Genomic DNA, 19,619 nt, shown 5'->3' with positions numbered 1-19,619 from the left:
TTTTGTATTTTTAGTAGAGACAGGGTTTCACCATGTTGTCCAGGCTGGTCTCGAACTCCTGACCTCACGTGATGTGCCCACTTCAGCCTCCCAAAGTGCTGGGATTACAGGAGTGAGCCACTGTGCCCAACTGGCAAGTGTATATTTTTAAAAACCGTAGGTTTATTGCAAGAATAATCATCTCCTTAAAGGTTAATAAAGCAATATTTGATAGAGTTTTTCAGAGTCTCCTTTAACAAGCAAATACAAATTTTATGATTGGTATAATAACTGTTTAGAAATAAGTGCTCATAACCTAATGTATTAAAAAGATTATTTTCTTAAGGAGGTTAAAATTATCTGTGTAATATTTGTTTACATTATTGATTTTCCTAAAAAAATACTTTTCTCTAAGTATTTAGATAGTTATCTAAGGATAGCTCAAGAACAATATTCATCCCAGAACTGTGTGAATAACCCAAATTCCAAAATTTCAACTGTCTAGCATTATGTTAAATCAGGATTGGCCATCTTTCTTCTGCTCGTCACATAGTAAATATTTTAGGCTTTGAGTTCATAGCATTTCTGTTGCAACTTCTCAATCTGCCCTTGTAGAGTGAAAGCAGCTACAGACAACATAGAAACAAATGAGCATGAGTATGTTCCAATAAAACTTTATTTACAAAAACAGCTAGTTTGTCCCATGAGATGTACTCTACCAGCCTCTGTGCTAAATCAAGAACCCAGAGATGTGTAAGATTGCCATACTCCAGCATTTCTAGTAAGAATCAACTGAACAAAAGGTGATGAATGACTAATAATTACTTGAAATTACATGATGCTTTAAGTAAATTAATACGAAATTAATGAAATTTTAATGTATTAACACTGGTTACTTTTTAAAGTTTACATTCTGGGTCCTTGAGAGCTTCATTTCATAGGATATATGCACAATGAATTACTCAAGACCTGTTTGGCTATAATTCAATTCATGGTGCAAATAGTTGTCCTCTCTGACTAGGTTGCAGGAATTGGGTCAGAGGAGTGTTGTGCCTTGTTCTACACTTTCTTCTCAAGGAATTGCTGCAAGGAGATTGTCAGCTTTATCTTAAATGCAAGTTTATAGAAGAAAAATCTTTGCTCCTACATGAATAGATTATTTCCTTGACATGCTTTGCTTTTAACCGACTAATAACCCCTCCTGCTTTAAGCCACTTTTGATACCTGTTGGATTTGGCTGGCAGAGAGACACAGATGTTGGGCATGATGGACAATCAGATGATACTTCACTTATGTAAGAGTCTGAATTACTGTTCAGCAAATATTCATTCTCCTCCTCTCCTGCTGTGGGAGAAATGATCTTCCCTGTCTCACTGATGTTTGCTTTGGCCAAAGGGATGTTAGAGGGCATAATGCAAGCAAAGGTTTGAAATGGGCTTAAGAGGTGAGGCTTGCACTCTGCTACAGCATGAGAAGGACAAGCCCCAGTCAGCCTGCAAGTGGATGAGAGTCCTGGGGAGCAGATCTGGATCCAATCTGCACCTGGAAGCCAAGCCAGGTCTAGATCAGCCAAGCCCCAGCCAACTGCATATGCATGACAACGAAAGCCAATGAGTTTTGGGATGGTTTGTCAAGCAGCATTATTGTAACAATAGCTAATAGATACAATCTATAACCAAAATTATAAATGAAAATCATTATGGATCAAGTATTTTTACCTTTAACTATGCTAATATAATTCTGCATATAAAAGTTTCATTCACAAGTGTTGGTTTTCATCTCTATCATCTCTATTATTTCACTTTGGAAAGAATTTTTTCTCTGCTATTATACAATCATTCCTTTTGTAAGCAACACTACCTTTATTAAAGGCTATATGGCCATAAGAAGGAGATGTGAGACATAAATATATATGTTGTCTCAATATTTTAGTCTTCCATCAAGAAAACACTTCACATTAGGAAACATTTCATAACAAGAGTGAGAGAAAACAGACATAGCATTTTAGTTTAAAAATGCTATTTTAGTTTTAAGTGTTTTAGTAATAACATTTTAATTTAAAAATGTGATTAATCCTGATGATAAGTTTGTAAGAACAGAAATGTTATTTTAAAAGCTAGAGGTAAAATTCCTTCCAAGGAGAAAACTGTATTTTGGAGAACAAAGCAACTCTATGGACCATTTGGGTGTGAAAATGTGGGTCCCACATCACAGAAGGAAGATAAGAAGGAAGAGGTGCAGTCAGAAGAGGGAAAGAAATTGAAAGAAATTAGGGCAAAAATTGGCAGTAAGAAATTACCAGGGGGTAATAAAAAAATACTTTTCTTTTTCTTTTTCTTTTTCTTTTTTTTGAGACAGAGTCTCGCTCTGTCACTCAGGCTGGAGTGCAGTGGCACTATCTCGGCTCACTGAAACCTCCGCCTCTCAGGCACAAGCAATTCTCATGTCTCAGCCTCCCAAGTAGCTGGGATTACAGGCACCCGCCACCATGCCCGGATACTTTTTGTAATTTTAGTAGAAACAGGGTTTTGCCACGTTGGTCAGACCGGTCTAACTCCTGACCTCAAGTGATCCAACCACCTCAGTCTCCCAAAGTGTTGGGATTACAGGCATAAGCCACCGTGCCCAGCCTAAAAAGGGCTTTTCAGAACAGCAATGTTTACAAATTCATTTTAAAGTATTTATTATGCTGTGTCATGATGTAATTCTTCCCTCACTCTCGTACCTATGGTGGAGATCTGTTCTACACCAGTATCTTGTGCTAGAGTTGTCTGTTGGAAGCTGAATGACATCCCACTTGGACTTGGGGATGGAAACAAGAGAGCAGCTGTGTGCCCATGGGAGCTCCCGGAGAATGTGGAGTCGAAGGAGGACACAATGCTAAGAATCTTGGAGAAAGCACTTAACCCACACACTGCGCACAGTAGACTACAGGCCAATTTTATTTGGATACCAAGGGGCAGGAGACCCTGTCTTCTTGAGAACTTGGAGATAGAAAATGACAGACACTTCTTTATAGGAAGATGTTTATACATCTGAAAATGCCACTTCCCTTTTCCAAAATGATTTCCATTCTGCCAACATGTAATGCATTGGACCAGTGGGTAGGAGGATAGCTTAGAATGCTGATTTGTAATCCCCTCAGCTCTAGAATTTTAGCAATGACTTTTAACATCAGCTTTCATGTTTGAGTTCCGGAGAAGAGTTTCCCCTCGACTAACATCCATGGTTTATAACTATAGCACCAACATTTGCAAAGCTTAGATGTTCAATTGTAAAAGACACATATTCTAGGCTGATGTATTTCTATTATTAGTTATAAAAACACAGTTTCCTCTGGTTGTAGGGGAAGAACCTATATAAAGAATCTGACCTAAGAACTTGGGGAAAAAAGTATATATATATATAATAGAAATATACATAAATCCTATATATATTATCTCCATATATAAATTAATATATATATTCCATACATATAAAAAATTACACATATTCTCCACATATATACATTTATATATTCTAGACAGAGAATATATATGGAATATATAGAGAAATATATAATTTATATATTCTATAAATATACTTTTGTATACTTATATACAAAAGTATATATATATATATATATATATTTTTTTTTTTTTTTTTTTGAGACAGAGTTTCGCTCTTGTTGCCCAGGCTGGAGTGCAATGGCACCATCTTGGCTCATGGCAACCTCCGCCTCCCAGGTTCAAGCAATTCTCCTGCCTCAGCCTCCTGAGTAGCTGAGATTACAGGCATGTACCACCATGCCCGGCTAATTTTGTATTTTTAGTAGAGACAGGATTTCTCCATGTTGAGGCTGGTCTCGAACTCTTGACCTCAGGTGATCCACCTGCCTCGGCCTCCCAAAGTGCTGGGATTACAAGCGTGAGCCACCGTACCCAGCCCAAAAGTATATACATTCTATAAATATACTTTAGTATTTTAAAATATATTTAAGTATTCTATAAATTTAAGTATTCTATATATTTATAGAATATATAAATAGAATAGAATATATGGAATAGAATGTATAGAACATATAGAAATATAGAGAATTTATATATTCTATATATAGAATTTATATATGTAGAGAATTTATATAATTATATTATATATTGCTATATTAACTATTCTATACATATATAGTATGTATAATACATATTATATATATAGTATGTATATTAATTGTATATTCTATCTCTATATATAGAAATAGATATTATACTTCTATATACTGCACTTTCAAACAACCATTTTCCTCTTACATTCCTCTTCTCCCTTTGCTGAAATTCTTACTTATAATGTCTTTGAGAAGAGAAATTACATTTATATTATTCCTATAATCCCTAGCAACATTACTACAATCTTTATTCCATTTTTAAAATACAAGACCAAACCTTGAGGAAAGAAGAGAATAAGTTTGCATTTCCCTGCGATAGGAGAAATTGAGACCTGTCTACTTGTAGCTGAGGTTATGTTTATAAATATCCATCAGGGACAGTTTTATAAAGACCTCTCAGAAATAAATGAAATCAACCACCATAACATTTTTTGTATTGCTTTTTATACACCCTCTCACCTAGCTGCACAGTCAGAGGAATAAGTCCATTAGCCCAGGCTCCAATTCCTTAGCGCCAACATCTGTGTCTCCATTCACAGGGCGTGCTCTGTTGACTTACATGGCTGCCCTCTCTGCTACTAACTTCTGTTGGGAAGAGTGCATGTGAGGGCAGACAGAGGTGTGCCACCAGAACAAAGGAGCTGAGTTCAGGCCCCAGCTGGAGAAGCCAGGGACACACATGAGGATCTGCAGGGAGAGGGATTTGGGCTGGTAGCAGGAAGCCATGAGGGTTTGAGTAGAGTACCCTGTAGACAAAATAACTTTGCATCTTTTTTTTTTTTTTTTTTTGAGACAGAGTCTCACTTTGTTGCCCAGGCTGGAGTGCAGTGGCGTGATCTCAGCTCACTGCAAGCTCCACCTCCCGGGTTCACACCATTCTCCTGCCTCAGCCTCTGGGGTAGTTGGGACTACAGGCGCCCGCTACCACGCCCAGCTAATTTTTTGTATTTTTAGTTGAGACAGGGTTTCACCATGTTAACCAGGATGGTCTCGGTCTCCTGACCTCGTGATCCACCCGCCTCGGCCTCCCAAAGTGCTGGGATTACAGGTGTGAGCCACCGCGCCCGGCCAACTTTGCATCTTTGAACAAAGGGAGACAATGTAACAGTAAACAATGAAGGCGTCAGGCGGCTAAAGAGACCTGGTGAAGCAGCAATGGATGGCATTCCAGAAAAAATCACTGGGTGACTTCCTTAGCTCTGACCTTGGTTAGTACTAAAAATAAAATAAAAGTAAAAGTAAAATTAAAGGGTCAAAGCCTCAGAGGGAGAGAGTGGCACGCATGGAAGGACACTGACTGTACCCACACTCCCTGTAATCACCAGGCACCACCACGTGAAAACAGAGTAAGAGAGAAAGACAAGTCTGAATGGACCCGAATGTGCAAGAGAGTGGAAATTTGCTCTCGCTCATTGTCTACACAGATTTTAGATGGATCACTGGACAAAGAGGGTGACTGGTGGCCATTAATGCCGCTCATGCAAATATTCCCAGTTCTTTCTCCTTGCAGACATGTAACAGGATTTCACTTCCTGGCCTCCTTAGAGTTGCTGAGGTCATGTGACCAGTTCTGGCCATTGGATGTGGGCAGCAAGGTGTCCTACATCAGCAGTTAAATGCTCCAGCCCAGAAGTAATAGATGTCTCTGCTGCCCACACCCATTGGCCAGAACTGGTCACATGACCCTGCCCCTCTACCACAGCAACTGGCAATCCTAGATAGTGGCAATTCTGTTAGCCTAAGCCCCAGTGTAAGGGCAATGCAGCACAGAGACACAAGCAACCCACCTTGGCCATGTAATATGAGTGAGAACTAAACTGCTATTGTTTGAAGCCACAGGATTGGGGATTGTTTATTACACCAGCATAGCCTAGCCCAGCCTCATGGGAAGAAGGAGTCCTTCTAGACTCGCCTTCCCCATCAACCTCCAAGTCCCATGATAGAGACTCCTTTGGATAAATTTGCTGTGTTCTAGCCTCAAAATCAATCCTGCCATTTAAGTTTTTTCTCCTCAACCAGGTTATAATGGCCCATACTTTCTTTTTTATTAAATAAATTTAATTATTATTATAATAATTATTATTAATTTTGTAGAGATGAGGTTTCACCATGTTGCCCAGGCTGGTCTTGAATGGCTCATACTTTATACTTCTTTTGGGCCACTCTCTGTTTCCACTGTGCCCAGTTGCACGGTTTAGTTGTGTTGGGACTCAGAAAACATACCCTAAAATGAAAACCTCAGAAACAACAGTTTTTCTCTGACATTCTTCTGTCCTCCTGTCTCTCATTCTCATTCTTCCCCAGGGCTAGCCGTAGAAACTAGAACCCCTGTTCCCCAAAGGGTAGTCACAGAAACCAGAACACTTTATTCCCCCAGAGCCAGCCACAAAACCTACAGGTATAACTCAAACTTTCCCACCACCTTTCTGTGTAACAACTGGCCATGAAAAATTATCTGACCTACCTAATTTGACTATAGTCATAAGGCCCCCATTCCAGAAGGGGTCCTGCCTCACACTCAGAAGGAAGGAATGCATGCTTAGAGGATGCATGCTGAAGAAGAATCTAGACAGACAGGCCTTGCTGGGTTTCCTCACTGTCTATTAACATTAGATTATATCCTTTTTAGATCTACATGGCTGTCCAAACTTTGTTGAAACTAAGTACAAAAATGGGCAATTTCACCTCTATCTTTGGGTATTCCTTCTGAAGGCTCCCATGCACATGTTAAATAAATTTATACGTCTTTCCACCAATTATTAGCCTTTCGTGAGTTGATTTTTCAGTGAACCTTCACAGGGTGAAAGGGAAAGTTCCTTTCAGTTCCCTACAGTGGCATCTCAGAAAAGGATTAGGTTCTAAAGAGAAAAGGCAGAAGTTTGCATAGTCAAAACTCCCCTTGAAAATTCCTTAAATCTCCCAATAAGTACAATATAGTGTCATACCTCACTAAAACCCAAAAGTTCCAGCTTAGGAACAGACCTCCTTTTCTCATGTTAAATACCAGATGATGTTGCTGGCTTGTACTAAGAATCATGTTGTACAAAAATATGTATCTTGAAACTCTAGAATTTCTTGGGATTTGTTGATGCTCAGATTTTGAGAGATACAAGATGCTGAGACCAACTGTGGGAACAGTCATCCTCATACTGTATCATTTAGAATGCTTTTACCTGCAGGTGGTAGAAAGATTATTTAATGGGGCATTAAACAACAGAGGATTGATTGGCTCATATAACAAGTCCCAAGGTAGTATGGCACCAGAGGTGGCTAATTCAGTGGCTCAATGCCCTGATGGCCTCAGTTTGACCTCTCTGCAATTCTCCTGGCTTTTCTCTGATGTCCCAAGATGGACACAGAAGTTCCATGTGTCATTAAAATGTTCAGAGACAGGAAAAGGGAGGATTCTCCTCTCCTCCCTTTTTAAGAAAAAAGAAGCTTTCCCCAAAGCACCCCCTACCCCTCACCAAAGCTGAACCCCCAAAGTCTCACTGATCAAAAATACAGCATAAACCTACTCCTAAACCAATAAGGGAAAGGGAATAGAATCATCAAAACTGGCTTGGAGTTAATGAACCAAGAATAAACCCTGGGTTGAGGAAGGTCTCAGCCTTCCCTGAGGATGTGGCCACCTGGAGGATGAAAAAAGGAATGAAACAGGATCTTGACTAGCAACGACAGGAATAGGTAGGGGGCCATCAGCTAAGCACTTAGTAGAGTCAGTCTGTCACAAGAGGATGCACATGTAGATTGGAATGGCAGGCAGAATCACTTATGTTATATAAATTTATATTTTTTTCTCTCTCGTTCTCATTAATTTAGTTAGAAATACACACTCAGGGCCAGGAATGGTAGCTCATGCCTGTAATCCCAGCACTTTGGGAGGCTGAGGTGGGAGGATTACTTGAGCCCAGGAATTCAAGACCAGCCTGGGCAACATGGCGAGACCCCATCTCTAAAAACAAACAAACAAAATTAGCTGAGCATGGTGGCATAGGTCTAAGCCTGTATTCCCAGCTACTTGGGAGGCTGAGGCAGGTGGATCATCACTTGAGCCCAGGAGGTAGAAGCTGCAGTGAGCTGTGTTTGCAACACTGCATGACAGAGTAAGATCTTGTAAAGAAAGAGAGAAGAAAGAAAGAAAGAAAGAAAGAAAGAAAGAAAGAAAGAAAGAAAGAGAAGGAAGGAAGGAAAGGGAGGGAAAGGAAAGAAAGAAAGGAAGAGAGAGAGAGAAAATGGAAGGAAGGAAGGCAGGCAGGCGAGAGGAAAAGAGAGAAAGAGGAAAGAGAAGAGATATAGAGAGAAAGAATGAAAGAAAAAAAAAGAAAAGAGGTGGAGCCAAGATGGCCGAATAGGAACAGCTCCAGTCTATAGCTCCCAGCATGAGTGACGCAGAAGACAAACGATTTCTGCATTTCCAACTGAGGTACTGGGTTAATCTCACTGGGGATTGTTGGACAGTGGGTGCAGGACAGTGGATGCAGCACACCAAGCATGAGCCGAAGCAGGGTGAGGCATTGCCTCACCTGGGAAGTGCAAGGGGTCAGGGAATTCCCTTTCCTAGCCAAGGAAAGGGGTGACAGACGGTACCTGGAAAATCGGGTCACTCCCACCCTAATACTGCACTTTTCCAATGGTCTTAGCAAACGGCACACCAGGAGATTGTATCCCACGCCTGGCTCAGAGGGTCCCACACCCACAGAGCCTCGCTCATTGCTAGCACAGCAGTCTGAGATCAAACTGCAAGGCGGCAGCGAGGCTGGGGGAGGGGTGCCTGCCATTGCTGAAGCTTGAGTAGGTAAACAAAGCAGCCAGGAAGCTTGAACTGGGTGGAGCCCACCGCACCTCAAGGAGGCCTGCCTGCCTCTGTAAACTCCACCTCTGGGGGCAGGGCACAGCCAAACAAAAGGCAGCAGAAACCTCTGCAGACTTAAATGTCCCTGTCTGACAGCTTTGAAGAGAGTAGTGGTTCTCCCAGCACACAGCTGGAGATCTGAGAATGGACAGACTGCCTCCTCAAGTGGGTCCCTGACCCCCGAGTAGCCTAACTGGGAGGCACCCCCCAGGAGGGGCAGACTGACATCTCACATAGCCGGGTACTGCTCTGAGACAAAACTTCCAGAGGAATGATCAGGGAGCAATATTTGCTGTTCACCAATATCTGCTGTTCTGCAGCCTCCGCTGCAGATACCCAGGCAAACAGGATCTGGAGTGGACTTTCACCAAACTCCAACAGACCTGCAGCTGAGGGTCCTGACTGTTAGAAGGAAAACTAACAAACAGCAAGGACATCCACACCAAAACCCCATCTGTACATCACCATCATCAAAGACCAAAGGTAGATAAAACCACAAAGATGGGGAAAAAACAGAGCAGAAGAACTGGAAACTCTAAAAATCAGAGCACCTCTCCTCCCCCAAAGGAATGCAGCTCACCAGCAATGGAACAAAGCTGGACAGAGAATGACTTTGACGAGTTGAGAGAAGAAGGCTTCAGACGATCAAACTACTCCGAGCTAAAGGAGGAAATTCGAACCCATGGCAAAGAAGTTAAAAACCTTGAAAAAATATTAGATGAATGGCTAACTAGAATAACCAATGCAAAGAAGTCCTTAAAGGACCTGATGGAGCTGAAAACCACGGCACGAGAACTACGTGATGAATGCACAAGCCCCAGTAGCCAATTCGATCAACTGGAAGAAAGGGTATCAGTGATGGAAGAGCAAATGAATGAAATGAAGTGACAAGAGAAGTTTAGAGAAAAAAGAATAAAAAGTAACAAACAAAGCCTCCAAGAAAAATGGGACTTGTGAAAAGACCAAATCTACATCTGATTGGTGTACCTGAAAGTGACAGGGAGAATGGAACCAAGTTTGAAAACACTCTGCAGGATATTATCCTGGAGAACTTCCCCAATCTAGCAAGGCAGGCCAACATTCAGGTTCAGGAAATACAGAGAATGCCAAAAAGATACTCCTCGAGAAGAGCAACTCCAAGACACATAATTGTCAGATTCACCAAAGTTGAAATGAAGGAAAAAATGTTAAGGGCAGCCAGAGAGAAAGGTCAGGTTACCCACAAAGGGAAGCCCAGCAGACTAACAGTTGATCTCTCAGCAGAAACTCTACAAGCCAGGAGAGAGTGGGGGCCAATATTCAACATTCTTAAAGGAAAGAATTTTCAACCCAGAATTTCATATCCAGCCAAACTAAGCTTCATAAGTGAAGGAGAAATAAAATACTTCACAGACAAGCAAATGCTGAGAGATTTTGTCACCACCAGGCCTGCCCTAAAAGAGCTCCTGAAGGAAGCACTAAACGTGGAAAGGAAAAACTGGTACCAGCCACTGCGAAAACATGTCAAATTGTAAAGACCATCGATGCTAGAAAGAAATTGCATCAACTAACGGGCAAAATCACCAGCTAACATCATAATGACAGGATCAAATTCATACATAACAATATTAACCTTAAATGTAAATGGGCTAAATGCTCCAATTAAAAGACACAGACTGGCAAATTAGACAAAGAGTCAAGACCCATCAGTGTGCTATATTCAGGAAACCTACCTCATGTGCAGAGACACACATAGGCTCAAAATAAAGGGATGGGGGAAGATCTACCAAGGAAATGGAAAACAAAAAAAGGCAGGGGTTGCAATCCTAGTCTCTGATAAAACAGACTTTAAACCAACAAAGATCAAAAGAGACAAAGAAGGCCATTATATAATGGTAAAGGGATCAATTCAGCAAGAAGAGCTAACTATCCTAAATATATATGCATCCAATACAGGAGCACCCAGATTCATAAAGCAAGTCCTTAGAGACCTATAAAGAGACTTAGACTCCCACACAATAATAATGGGAGATTTAACACCCCACTGTCAACATTAGACAGATCAACGAGACAGAAAGTTAACAAGGATATCCAGGAATTGAACTCAGCTCTGCACCAAGTGGACCTAATAGACATCTACAGAACTCTCCACCCTAAATCAAGAGAATGTACATTCTTTTCAGCACCACACCACACCTATTCCAAAATTGACCACATAGTTGGAAGTGAAGCCCTCCTCAGCAAATGTAAAAGAATAGAAATTATAACAAACTCTCTCAGACCACAGTGCAATCAAACTAGAACTCAGGATGAAGAAACTCACTCAAAACCGCATAACAACATGGAAACTGAACAACCTGCTCCTGAATGACTACTGGGTACATAACAAAATGAAGGCAGAAATAAAGATGTTCTTTGAAACCAACGAGAACAAAGACACAACATACCAGAATCTCTGGGACACATTCAAAGCAGTGTGTAGAGGGAAATTTATAGCACTAAATGCCCACAAGAGAAAGCAGGAAAGATCTAAAATTGACACCCTAACATCACAATTAAAAGAACTAGAGAAGTAAGAGCAAACACGTTCAAAAGCTAGCCGAAGGCAAGAAATAACTAAGATCAGAGCAGAACTGAAGGATATAGAGACACAAAAAACCCTTCAAAAAATCAATGAATCCGGGAGGTGGTTTTTTGAAAAGATCAACAAAATTGATAGACCGCTAGCAAGACTAATAAAGAAGAAAAGAGAGAAGAATCAAATAGACGCAATAAAAAATTATAAAGGGGATATCACCACCAATCCTACAGAAATACAAACTACCATCAGAGAATACTATAAACACCTCTACACAAATAAACTAGAAAATCTAGAAGAAATGGATAAATTCCTCGACACATACACCCTCCCAAGACTAAACCAGGAAGAAGTTGAATCTCTGAATAGACCAATAACAGGCTCTGAAATTGAGGCAATAATTAATAGCTCACCAACCAAAAAAAGTCCAGGACCAGATAGATTCACAGCTGAATTCTACCAGAGGTACAAAGAGGAGCTAGTACCATTCCTTCTGAAACTATTCCAATCAATAGAAAAAAAGGGAATCATCCCTAACTCATTTTATGAGGCCAGCATCATCCTGATACCAAAGCCTGGCAGAGACACAACAAAAAAAGAGAATTTTAGACCAATATCCCTGATGAACATCGATGCAAAAATCCTCAATAGAATACTGGCACATCAGTATTTTATTTGATGTGAATCTAGCAGCATATCAAAAAGCTTATCCACCATGATCAAGTGGGCTTCATCCCTGGGATGCAAGGCTGGTTCAACATATGCAAGTCAATAAACATAATCCAGCATATAAACAGAACCAATGACAAAAACCACATGATTATCTCAATAGATGCAGAAAAGGCCTTTGACAAAATTCAACAACCTTCATGCTAAAAACTCTCAATAAATTGGGTATTGATGGGACGTATCTCAAAATAATAAGAGCTATCTATGACAAACCCACAGCCAATATCATACTGAATGGGCAAAAACTGGAAGCATTCTCTTTGAAAACTGGCACAAGACAGGGATGCCCTCTCTCATCACTCCCATTCAACATAGTGTTGGAAGTTCTGGCCAGGGCAATCAGGAAGGAGAAGGAAATAAAGGGTATTCAATTAGGAAAAGAGGAAGTCAAATTGTCCCTGTTTGCAGATGACATGATTGTATATCTAGAAAACCCCATCATCTCAGCCCAAAATCTCCTTAAGCTGATAAGCAATTTCAGCAAAGTCTCAGGATACAAAATCAATGTGCAAAATTCACAAGCATTCTTATACACCAATAACAGACAAACAGAGAGCCAAATCATGAGTGAACTCCTATTCACAATTGCTTCGAAGAGAATAAAATGCTTAGGAATCCAATTTACAAGGGACATGAAGGACCTCTTCAAGGAGAACTACAAACCACTGCTCAATGAAATCAAAGAGGATACAAACAAAAGCATGAACATTCCATGCTCATGGGTAGGAAGAATCAATATCATGAAAATGGCCATACTGTCCAAGGTAATTTATAGATTCAATGCCATCCCCCTCAAGCTACCAATGACTTTATTCACGGAATTGGAGAAAACTACTTTAAAGTTCATATGGAACCAAAAAAGAGCCTGCATTGCCAAGTCAATCCTAAGCCAAAAGAACAAAGCTGGAGGCGTCACGCTACCTGACTTCAAACTATACTACAAGGTTACAGTAACCAAAACAGCATGGTACTGGTACCAAAACAGAGATATAGACCAATGGAACAGAACAGAGCCCTCAGAAATAATGCCACATTTCTACAACTAACTGATCTTTGACAAACCTGACAAAAACAAGAAATGGGGAAACAATTCCCTATTTAATAAATGGTGCTGGGAAAACTGGCTAGCCATATGTAGAAAGCTGAAACTGGATCCCTTCCTTACACCTTATACAAAAATTTATTCAAGATGGATTAAAGACTTAAATGTTAGACCTAAAACCATAAAAACTCTAGAAGAAAACCTAGGCAATACCATTCAGGACATAGGCATGGGTAAGGATTTCATGTCTAAAACACAAAAAGCAATGGCAACAGAAGCCAAAATTGACAAATGGGATCTAATTAAACTAAAGAGCTTCTGCACAGCAAAAGAAACTACCATCAGAGTGAACAGGCAGCCTATAGAATGGGAGAAAATTTTTGCAATCTACTCATCTGATGAAGGGCTAATATCCAGAATCTACAATGAACTCAAACAAATTTTCAAGAAAGAAACAAACAACCCCATCAACAAGTGGGCGAAGGATATGAACAGACACTTCTCAAAAGGAGACATTTATGCAGCCAAAAGACACATGAAAAAATGCTCATCATCACTGGTTATCAGAGAAATGCAAATCAAAACTACAATGAGATACCATCTCACACCAGTTAGAATGGGGATCATTAAAAAGTCAGGAAACAACAGGTGCTGGAGAGGATGTAGAGAAATAGGAATACTTTTACACTGTTGGTGGGACTGTAAACTAGTTCAACCATTGTGGAAGTCAGTGTGGCGATTCCTCAGAGATCTAGAACTAGAAATACCATTTGACCCAGCCATCCCATTATTGGGTATGTACCCAAAGGATTAGAAATCATGCTGCTATAAAGACACATGCACACATATGTTTATTGCGGCAGTATTCACAATAGCAAAGACTTGGAACCAACCCAAATGTCGAACAATGATAGACTGGATTAAGAAAATGTGGCACACATACACCATGGAATACTATACAGCCATAAAAAATGATGAGTTGATGTCCTTTTTATGGACATGGATGAAGCTGGAAACCATCATTCTCAGCAAACTATGGCAAGGACAAAAAACCCAACACCACATGTTCTCACTTGTAGATGGGAATTGAACAATGAAAACACATGGACACAGGAAGGGGAACATCACACACCGGGGGCCTGTTGTGTGGTGGGGGGAGGGGGGAGGGATAGCATTAGGAGATATCCCTGATGTTAAATGACGAGTTAATGTGTGCAGCACACCAACATGGCACATGTATATATATGTAACAAACCTGCATGTTGTGCACATGTACCCTAAAACTTAAAGTATAATTAAAAAAAGAAAAAAAATAGAGAAAAATGGAATGGTCCATTCAATAAATACAAAAATTTCAGTCTTTAAAAAAAAAAAAAAGGAAAGAAAAGGAAGAATCTACACTCAAATTTGTGTAAGCTAAGTACACAGGGGATCCTGGGACTCAGCCTTCTGCTGCCAGCTCCTCCTTGGTGGTGTCTTAGCTCAGCCCCAGTGTGGCATCTCCACCTCCACCCTCTGCTGGGAACTCACAGTTCTGATCATGGCCCCATTTAGTGGGACACAAATTAGGGCCTAGGCAGGGAGAGCCCTGACATGTGTCTCATGGTGCTTCCTGGTCGATGCTGCTTCAGCGGGCCGTTCTCCACGCAAAGCACCTGTGGGCAGGAACTGGGCTTATACACAGTTAGTCTCATCCAAGTGTTTGTTAAATGAGAAGTGTTAGTTCTGGGCAGGAAGTTTTGGGCGACAGGAGCTTCAGAGAGTGCCGAAGGAGAAAAGAAGAATGCTACAAGAGAGAAGGCAGAGGGCACTGGGAACAGATGGTCCCAGGCCTCAGTCCATCCCCCTAAACTGGAGAGGCAGGAACCACATGGGTGGACTAGACTAGACCATGTCTGGGTGGTGAGACCCTGAGCACATTTTTTTTATTTTTATTTGTTTTTATTTTATTTATTTATTTATTTATTTTGAGGCAGTCTTGCTCTGTCACCCAGGCTGGAGTGGTGCAGTGGTGTGATCTTGGTGTGATCTTGGCTCACTGTAATCTCCACCTCCAAGGTTGAAGTGATCCTGCTGACCCAGCCTCCCATGTAGCTGGGATTACAAGTGCACGCCACCAAGCCCAGCCAATTTTTGTATTTTTAGTAGAGACGGGATTTCGCCTTGTTGGCCAGGCTGGTCTCAAACTCCTGATCTCAGGTGATGCACCCACCTCAGCCTCCCAAAATGCTGAGATTACAGGCGTGAGCCACCGTGCCCAGCCAGACCCTGAGCACTTTGAAGATAGGGACTGTCCTCCCTGCTGTCCCACCCCAGGCCTCAGTCAGCACAGTCTGGGCTGGCACACAGTGGGAGCTCATTAAATATTTCCCAAATTGAAGTGGAAGGGGCCTCGAGGCTGCCTAAGCTACTCTCCCATCAGGGCAGAAGCCTCCTCTACAAAGTCACCTGATGGATGACATGGCCTTTTCCTGGTCATGGTTCTTACTACCTCACAAGGTCATGCACATTGGGCAGCTAGAATGGACTATCCCCCCTTTTTTTTTTTTTTTTTTGCGACAGGGTCTCGCTGTCACCCAGGCTGGACGGCAGCGGTGCAATCATAGCTTACTGCAGCCTTGAATGCCTGAGCTCAAGCAATCCTCCCACCTTAGTCTCCTGAGTAGCTGAGACTACAGGCTCCCCACTCCCCCGCCCTGGTCAGAAAGTACCATATTAAGAAGAGCTGAGCCACAAACAATTCAGAAAAATAAGATCCCAGATGATGACCTATGTAGCCTGGCTTATGGAGAGGACATGGTGAGGCGCCCTCCACGGCTATTGAGTGTTCGCTTTTGTTTGCTGGGACTTTGGTATACCCTTCTCAGCCTTCCAGCCTTCCTATCCATCCTGATTATTCTCGTCCTCATCACACCCCTGCTTCTACCTTCATCAGCCCACTGTCATAGACACAGCAAAGGAACTTTGAGGAAGTCTGGAGCCCGGCCTTTTGGGTTTCAAGGAGAGATACAAGGCTCTGAGTTGGAAAATAAGTTGTCAAAGTCTCACAGTCAGTAGCCACTAAGCTGGGACTGAAGGAGACAAGAATGCCTCTGCTTTTCCTAAACCAGACTTCTTCCTGGACAAAATCATATCAACCCCATTTTATAGGCAAAAGATTGGCCCACTGGGGAATCATCTTGCTTGATCACAACAAAAAGAATGGGGTTAGCTCTCTTCCTCACTAGAGTCTCTGCACAGACAGCCATCACATTGAGACTTGGCCAGTTATTTCTCTTCCTCTTAATTGCCTTTGGCTCCAAGTAACCCTGTGGATTTTTAAAATCTCACTTTGTTCTTGGAGGATTTCTCAGCAGGGTGGGCATTAGAACTTAGCGGAACTTCAGAACAATGATCTGCCTTTAAACACTTGGCTTTAGGAAGCCCCACCCCAGGATAAGCTGATGGGGCCTGCTTCCTCTGGATGGGAAGCTCTGCCCCGGGTTTGAAGGAGGAGGGCAGGATGCAACCCCGTCCCACCCTCCCCACTCCAGGTGGTGGCTCTTCCTTGGTCCTGAGCTTTCTCTTCCTTAGGATAGCTATGAGGACCAGGCCCTGCGGCCTCCAAATAGAGGGCAATTCCCTCTCCCTCTTCTGCTCTCTCTTAGGAGAGCTCATTGAGAAACAGGAAGGTCCATCTTTTGGATAAGTTATTTTTCTCGAACTCACCATAGGTTATTGGAAACCTCTCCTGCAACCCCAACTATTTCTCCTTGAGTAGGGGAGTCCTCTCTGAGTGCCTCTGAGTGGATGTTAAAGGATCTCAAATATATATATGTGTATATAAAACCCTCAATGTCTTGCCAGTGTGGCCCCATGTCTTCTCAACCCCCTTGCTCTGTTTGCCAGCGGGGCTGCAATAGTAGCAGTAATGACAGCGAGACTATCCAGAGGATGTACTATATATAGCCTTTATGTGTATTACCTTACTTAATCCTCATACAACATGATGAGGTAGACACAATATTATCCCCGCTCTGCAGATGAGAAAACAGGCTTGCAAAAGTTAAAATGACTGAGCTAACAAGTGATGGAATCAATATTTATTTATTTACTTTTTATTACTTTATTATATATTTATTTATTTTTTCAAGAGAGGCTCTTGCTCTGTCACCCAGGCTGGCATGCAGTGGCGTGATCATGACTCACTTGCAGCCTCAACCTCCTGGGCTCAAGTGATCCTTTCACCTCAGCCTCCTGGGTAGCTGGGACTATAAGTACATGCCACCACGCCCAGTTAAATTTTGTATTTTTAGTAGAGATGGGGTCTCACCACGTTCGCCAGGCTGGTCTTGAACTCCTGGATTCAAGTGGTCCACCTGCTTCAGCCTCCCAAAGTGCTGGGATTACAGGCGTGAACTACCACACCTGGCCCATATGTTCTTATGTACACACATGCACACACACATGCACTCTTAGACATTTATGTGCAGGCTTGTGTGTACGCATGCCAACCCACACACATACATGTGCACAGCCCATGCACACACCCATGTGCATGTGCACACACAGATGCATATCTGGGCATGAAGCTGCAATAGCTTTCCAGCTACCACAGTACACTCAGAAGCTTGGACCTCTCTTGAAGGAGAAAAGAGCTTTTCTCTGTCATAGCATCTGAGAGTGGGTCAGAAAACTGGGTGTTTCAACACCCTACCCTCAAAGGTGCGTTTTAAACATCCTTCTGTATATGAAGAAGGAAGCAGACTCCAATTGCACAAAATGAGAGCAAAAAAGGATCATGGTACATTGTTTAAAATGAGTTTTACAGGACCCTTGAGGCCCAAACTAATTTTGGAAATGGTTTGTTTTGGCTAGCCTGTGCCAGTCCTCAGAAATTAAAGCCTTTTTAAGCAACCATGAGACTTGCAGCAAGTTCAAGGGACTGTTCCTTTTCCCTACTCAAAGGTTAGAGAACTAATAGCTTAAAACTTGGTTTCCTCTCCAATTATTTCACAAATATTACCATTCAGTGGGGCCCCTTTCCAGGTCCAATAAAAGATCCTGTTATATTCTCCACATACTCTAATGATTAAGTTTGCCACCCTTATTTTACTAGGCTGGAAACATATTTAACATTTGCTCCCTAAAAATGTGACATAAAATTAAACAAAACCCAGAGTCACTGTCTTGGATCTAGTTTCCATCCAGAGGAGATGTATTAAACAACTAGTTGTTAAAACAGCAGGTGGTGACAGGGACATATTTAGAGTCTTTGTGCTCTTGGAAGGGTCAGCTACCCATCTGGTGGTCTGTGACATTCCTTCTCTTGCTGTATAAATTGTGTCACTAGGCTGAAGGCAGAGTGGAGAGCAAAGCCCTTGGATTCATGGAGAAGCTGGGACCTGCAGTATCTTTCCTGCCTCATCCTTCCTCTCCATCCTCATGGCAAGTGCACCAGTTCAGGCCTCCAAGGTCCTCAGCTCAGATCTGTCTTCCATTCCATGACCATCATTATTTTTCAGAAATGTAGCTGTGCTCACATCACTCCCCACCTGATATGGTTTGGCAGTGTCCCCACCCAAATCTCAAATTGTAGCTCCCATAATGCCCACGCCATGGGAGGGACCTGGTGGGAGGTAACTGAGTCATGAAGACGGGTCTTCCTCATGCTGTTTGCATGACAGTGAATAAGTCTTGTGAGATCTGATGGTTTTATAAAGAGGAGTTCCCCTGCACATGCTCTCTTTGCCTGCCGCCATGTAAGATGTGACTTTGCTCCTCCTTCACCTTCTGTCATGATTGTGAGGCCTCCCTAGCCATGTGGAACTGTGAGCCAATTAAATCTCTTTTGTTTATAAATTACCCAGTCTTGGGTATGTCTTTTTTAGCAGCGTGAGGATAGACTAATGCACCACCTCAACTGCATTCCTTGCATTTCTGTTGTGTTGCAGGCATGGTGCTTGGGCTGGAAAGATTAAGATGGAAAGACCCACCCCCTGCCATCAGGCAGTCTGGGAGGTGGTTTTCTGTCTGTATAATCTGATTTCTAGCACTGCTCCTTCCTCTCCCTTTTCTTACTACATGAGGCCTCTCCTGGGTAGGTGGCCAGGATGTTCCATTTCCACCCTGAGTTCTGGGTGTCCTGCCAGAGCTTCCTCTCCAGTCCCTGGGTGGGAGAGGGCTGTGGCAGTGTCAGGTCACCTATGGGAGCTCACCCAGCCATTTAGGAAACTCACTTGAATCATGTAGAAGCCTATAAAAGAGAATATTTTTAAAAGAATTATCTGGAAAGTTCCAGAAGGGTTTTAGGGTAATCATCCACCCAGTGTTATAC

General features: G+C 42.1%; 1 protein-coding gene across 12 annotated transcripts in view, besides 1 other annotated feature; it reads right to left on the bottom strand.

The window, feature by feature from the left end:
* Positions 1–19,619, bottom strand: part of PALM2AKAP2 (PALM2 and AKAP2 fusion) — a 531,726-nt gene that overhangs the window by 157,890 nt on the left and 354,217 nt on the right. The window lies entirely within an intron of this gene.
* Positions 8,829–9,330: an enhancer, noted in NCBI's record as "NANOG-H3K4me1 hESC enhancer chr9:112767573-112768074 (GRCh37/hg19 assembly coordinates)". NCBI's record gives its function as "activates a minimal SCP1, AML or CMV promoter by ChIP-STARR-seq in naive and primed H9 embryonic stem cells {active_cell/tissue: H9 hESC(naive and primed)}" and the evidence as "EXISTENCE:reporter gene assay evidence [ECO:0000049][PMID:30033119]".

This window comes from Homo sapiens, chromosome 9 (assembly GCF_000001405.40).
Source record: "Homo sapiens chromosome 9, GRCh38.p14 Primary Assembly".
Taxonomy (NCBI): domain Eukaryota; kingdom Metazoa; phylum Chordata; class Mammalia; order Primates; family Hominidae; genus Homo; species Homo sapiens.
The sequence above is the reverse complement of the archived record's forward strand: the minus strand, read 5'-3'. Positions and strand labels throughout refer to the sequence as shown.